The sequence below is a fragment of the Homo sapiens genome, chromosome 9 (genome assembly GCF_000001405.40).
Source record: "Homo sapiens chromosome 9, GRCh38.p14 Primary Assembly".
In the NCBI taxonomy this organism is placed as follows: Eukaryota; Metazoa; Chordata; class Mammalia; order Primates; family Hominidae; genus Homo; species Homo sapiens.
In genome coordinates this window covers 96,689,230-96,695,337 of record NC_000009.12, presented here as the reverse complement: position 1 = coordinate 96,695,337, position 6,108 = coordinate 96,689,230, and positions in this window count along the sequence as shown.

The window sequence follows — 6,108 nt, the reverse complement described above, 5'->3', positions numbered from 1 at the left end:
TTCTTTACAACTTTATCCAAAATTTTATCTTATTACTTCTTGTACTTTCAATATTGTCCATGCATCGGTACCTAATAGGGTTTTTTTCCCACTTATTTTTGTCACAATTATTGTTGTCTCATTTCAGTCCACATTTCCCTACTGAGAAAAGTGTGCAGCTTTTCATATAGTTGTTGGCCATTTAGATTAGTTCCTTTAGAATATACTGCTCATGTTTTTCCTGTTTTTTTGTTTTATTTTGTTTGGAGACAGAGTCTTGCTCTATTGCCCAGGCTGGTGTACTGTGGCGTGATCTCAGCTCACTACAACCTGAACCTCCTGGGTTCAAGCGATTCTTGTGCCTCAGCCTCCTGAGTAACTGGGATTACAGGCATGTGCCACCACATCCTCAGTGCTGGGATTACAGACATGAGCCACTGTGCCTGGCCATAAAGTTCAGAGCTGGGCATGGTGGCCCATGCCTGTAATCCCAGCACTTTGGGAGGCCGAGACAGGCAGATCACTTGAGGTTGGGAGGGTGAGACCAGCCTGGCCAACATGGCAAAACCCCATCTCTACTAAAAATACAAAAATTAGCCGGGCATGGTGGTGCATACCTATAACCCCAGCTACTCAGGAGGCTGAGGTACAAGAATCGCTTGAACCCGGGAGGCGTAGGTTGCAGTCAGCCAAGATCATGCCGCTACACTCCAGCATGGAAGGCAGAGTAAAACTGTATCTCAAAAAAAAAAAATTAAGGAATTTTTTTATTATGGAAAATCCCAAACATTTAGCGGTTCATGCCTGTAATCCCAGCACTTTGCAAGGCTGAAGTGGGAGGATCACTTAAGCCCAGGAGTTCATGACCGGCCTGGGAAATATAGTGAGACCAATTCTCAACAAAAAAATATTAAAAACTAGCTGAGCATGGTGGCGCACACCTGTAGTCCCAGCTACTCAGGAGGCTGAGGTGGGAGGATCACTGAGCACAGGAGGGGGAGGCTGCAGTGAGCTGAGACTGTACCACTGTGGTCCAGCCTGGGTGAGAGTGAGACCCTGTCTCAAAAAAAAAAAAAAAAGTAAAAAATGTAGTATAATAACCCCTGTGGACCCATCACTCATCTTCAACAATTATCAATATTCTGCCATTTAAAACTCCATCCACTCACTATTCTCCAATTTTTAGTATTAACTTTGTTTTTTAGCCATTGCTTTTAAAGCCAATCTGTTACCTGATTTTCTATTTTTTACATAAATCACATTCTTAACTTTTACACTAGTTACGTAAAATTTGTAGTAGAAATATCCATTTGTAGTAGAAATAGATAGATACCAGATACTCTCTTGGTATCTACTGATATCTTTTTTCTCTTTTTTTTTTTTTTGGAGACAAAATATTGCTCTGTCACCCAGGCTGGAGTACAGTAGCATGATCTCAGCTCACTGCAACCTCCACCTCCTGGATTCAAGCCATTCTCCAAGCTCAACCTCCTGAGTAACTGGGATTACAGGCGTGCACCACCATGCCTGGCTAATTTTCTGTTTTTAGTAGAGATGGGGTTTCACCATGTTGGCCAGGCTGGTCTCGAACTCCTGATCTCAGGTGATCTGCCTGCTGTGGCCTCTCAGAGTGCTGGGATTACAGGCCTGACCCACCACGCCTGGCCTACTGATATTATCTTAATATTATTTAACACTGAATATTAAAGTTGAATATTAAATGTTATGATTTCATATTGAAGTCCCCTTGCATTGCTGAAATAATGATTAAATAATGTTACACACACACACAGACAGAAGTTTGTTGGGAGCAAGCCCCTCAAAATCTGGCCATAAACTGGCCCCAAAACTGGCCATAAACAAAATCTCTGCAGCACTGTAACATGTTCATAATGGCCCTAATGCCCACGCTGGAAGGTTGTGGGTTTATAGGAATGAGGGCAAGGAACACCTGGCCCGCCCAGGGCAGAAAACCGCTTAAAGGCATTCTTAAGCCACAAACAATAGCATGAGCGATCTGTGTCTTAAGGGCATATTCCTGCTGCAGTTAACTAGCCCAACCTATTCCTTTAATTCAGCCCATCCCTTCGTTTCCCATAAGGGATACTTTTAGTTAATTTAATATCTATAGAAACAATGCTAATGACTGGTTTGCTGTTAATAAATATGTGGGTAAATCTCTGTTTGGGGCTCTCAGCTCTGAAGGCTGTAAGATCCCTGATTTCCCACTTCACACCTCTATATTTCTGTATGTGTGTCTTTACTTCCTCTAGCGCCGCTGGGTTAGGGTCTCCGTGACCGAGCTGGTCTCGGCAGAGGTTATTTTTATTTTTATTCTTATTTTTATTTTTATTTGAGGCAGAGTCTCACTCTGTTGCCCAGGATGGAGTGCAGTGGCACAATCTTGGCTCACTGCAACCTCCGCCTCCCGACTTCAAGTGATTCTCATGCCTCGCCCTCCCAAGTAGTTGGGATTACAGGCGTGTGCCACCACACCCAGCTAATTTTTGTATTTTTAGTAGAGATGGGGTTTCACCATGTTGGCCAGGCTAGTCTCAAACTCCTGGCCTCAAGTGATCTGTCTGCCTTGGCCTCCCAAAGTGTTGTTATTACAGGCATGAGCCACCGCGCCCGGCCAAGATTATTCTTTTAAATGCAAACTGACATTTTTTTTCTTTTTTTTCTTTTTTTTGGAGACAGAGTCTCGCTCTGTTGCCCAGGCTGGAGTGCAGTGGTGTGATCTTGGCCCACTGCAAGCTCCGCCTCCCGAGTTCACACCATTCTCCTGCCTCAGCCTCCCAAGTAGCTGGGACTACAGGCACCCACCACCACGCCCGGCTAATTTTTTTGTATTTTTAGTAGAGACGGGGTTTCACCGTGTTAGCCAGGATGGTCTCAATCTCCTGACCTCATGATCCACCCATCTCAGCCTCCCAAAGTGCTGGGATTACAGGTGTGAGCCACCGCGCCTGGCCGCAAACTGACATTCTGATTTTTAATAGGATTCAGCCTCTTTATATTTAGTGAAGCAACTGAAACGCTCCTTGTGACAGGTCAATTTGAGGGCAGCAGTGCAATGTACATGTGGGGTTTGGTGCAATCCTAATTGCTACATCAAACAAGAGAAGAGAAGAGTGAGATGGAAGTAGGGGCATAACATAACCACCCATTACTTTCCATATAGCCTGAACAGACACATAAACAGAAGAATGCAGTAGGGAGGCTAAAGAAAAAATAATAGTTAACTGGGGAGCGAAGAGGACCCTTTTGAGAAGACATGTGATTACTGTTGAATTTTTAGGATGAAGCCAGTGGATACAAGGATAAGCTATGGTGTTTGTGTATGAAGTTGTTACGACAGGTAACAGAGCCTATGGGGATAGGGAGAGACCCATAAACACCTCCTCATTCCCTCAGAGTTGAGACCTGCCAGGGACAGAGCTTATACTTTAAGGTCCAGAACACAAAGACACTCAGGCAGAAATTTGAACCCCAGGATACTATAGTTGAGGCCTTGTCAACCTTGCCTACCCGCCCCACATTCCTTATTCCCATCTCCTCCTTCCCTAAAAAACTCCCATAGGAACTCTTGAAACTGGTTCCTAGGTAAATTCAGGGAAAGATCCAAAAGAACCCAGCAGGTCTCCAGTAAAGCCTTCTGGAATCCCTCCTGGACCTTCAAAGCTCCTGAAGTCTCATAACAGATCCTGATACCAGCTGAAAGACTTCAGGCCAGATTGGCTCTTAGATCAGAGCTCCTGTATGTCCTCCTCAGCCTTTCAAGGAGCATGACAGCAGACAGTGCTCTGTAGACCCACGTCCATTATATCCCTCAGGCCTGCACATGCCTGAAGGATGAGACAATCAGGAACCAAACTCCTGTCCTGAAACAGAGATTCCTCAGGGAATCTCCCTGTTCTTAGCCAGTTTTAAGTGGGATTGACTCTAAGGCCACCTTCAAGGGTAGTTCTAATTGGCTTAATCCAATAAGCCAACCCCTCTAACATACTGATTGGATCAGGGATAGACAAGCAACCCAGTGTGTAAACTTGCTTTTGCTACAAAACCAAACTATCCCAAAATTTAGTGGAATAGTTTAAAACAACAAACTTTTTTTACTTCTCACAGTTTTGTCAGTTGGCTTGAGTGGTTCTTCAGGTCTGGACTGGCTCAGCTAAGAACTAATGGTCTGGGTCTAAGGGTGGCAGTTAATCATAGGAATGAGGTGATGCTTATCTGGGACAGCTCATTTCTGCTCCACATGGTCTCTCAATCTTCATGCTTCTTCACATGGAAATCTCAAGGTTCCAAAGAACAATTTTCAAATCTCTGGTTGCATCACATAAAAAGATATTATATTGGCCAAAGTCAGTCATATGTTCAAGCCCAGACTCAGTGTGCAAGTGACATGCAAAAAGATATGGTTACAGGGAGGCAGGATCACAATGGTAGTCATTATACCACATACAGTATTATCCAGGAGTCTTGAGTCCTTCTGAAAAAGTCAAACTTCCTCTCTCTTCCTTGGGGGCTACTAGGAAAGATCTTCTTCCCATGGTCAATACAACAATAAGGAGAGAATTTAAAGCTGCTAGATTGGGTAGGAAGTGGGCCTCAAGTAGAGAGTAAGGATTCAATGAGAGAAGAGGGACAGAAGGAAACCAGAGTCCTAAAAAAATGTTTGAGATACTGAACCAAGCTCTGCCTAAAGATTTTTCAGTCACTTAAAACAGGACATTTCCTTTTGCTTAAGCCAGTGGGAGTTGTATTACCGCTACATGCAACCAAAAGCATCCTCACGTGGTTGTGAAGACAAAGCAGATATGGTCAGAGAAAGTGTAGATACAGGGGTCAAAGAAGTTGTTATTTTTCAGATGAGACACATTGAAACGTGTTTATATGTTGAAATGAGGTGTTTATATGTTGAAATGAGCAGAGGAAAGACTGAAGATACAAGAAAAGAAGCTGACAACCAATAAAGTAATTCCTATGGGAAAACAGGAGGTAGTAGGATTTAGGACACAGGTGAAGGGATTATTTTCCTTTAAACAGAACGGTATGCCTGAGAGCAACTGGAACAACACAGACACTCAACAAATGTTTGCTGAATAAATGGATTGAAGAGTTGGGATCTTCTGATACCTCTTTCTCTCACAAATCAATATATGCCCAGTTTACAGAAAGCTACCTTAATCCATGGCATTCTCAGTCTTCTCAATCCACTTTTGGAAGATAATCTTGATTCTGGCTTTCAGATTACCTTGCTTTTGCAACCATGCACTGTTTACCCCACGTATTTCAGGAAGAATCAGAGGAATGAGTACCTAATCTTGAACTCATTACACAATCTTGAGTTCTCTCTCCCACCAGATCAGTGTTTTTCAAAGTATAACCCAGACAGCTTGCAACAAAATCACCTGGGGGCTTACTGAAATGCAGATTCCTGACCTCACTTATTGAGTTGGACTCTGAAGGAGAGAATCTGCATTTTAACATTCTCTGTTCTCTAGCTGGTCTTTACGCTGCTCCACCAGATGTAAACTGCCTAAGGGCAGGGGCAGGGTCTGGTTGCCTTTGTTTCCTCTGCACATTTCTTGGCATAATGTTTATCAAATGAGTACTTAAGTCAGGGAATCCGTGCTACTAAATATGAGTTCACAAATTAACCTTTCAGAAAGCACATCTTTATGATTCCAACAGTACGTTGATGTATATTTCAAATCTGTCATGTGTTGAAGGGAGAAAATGGTAGAGAAATACTGTCCTATATTTGGCAAGGCAAGAGTCTGACTTCATAACATCTTAAAACCTGCTTCTACTTATTAAAAAAAAAATTTAAATACAAGGAAATTCAAGTTTCTCCCTTAAGCAAAATTGATATGTACAACCCAGTCATAGAGTGTGAAGCCATGCTGGCAAACGTTTCTTCATGATTAATACCCAAGAGTTTTCCCAGGCTCATTTGTACCACCCTGGCCCTGTGGCCAATCCTGTCTATCACGGCTGGGAAAGGCTGCCTTGTGAATGATTTTTTTGTTTTGTTTTGGAGGCAGGGTCTCACTCTGTTGCCCAGGCTGGAGCATAGTGGTGCAATCACAGTTCACTGCAGCCTTGACCTCCCAGACTTAA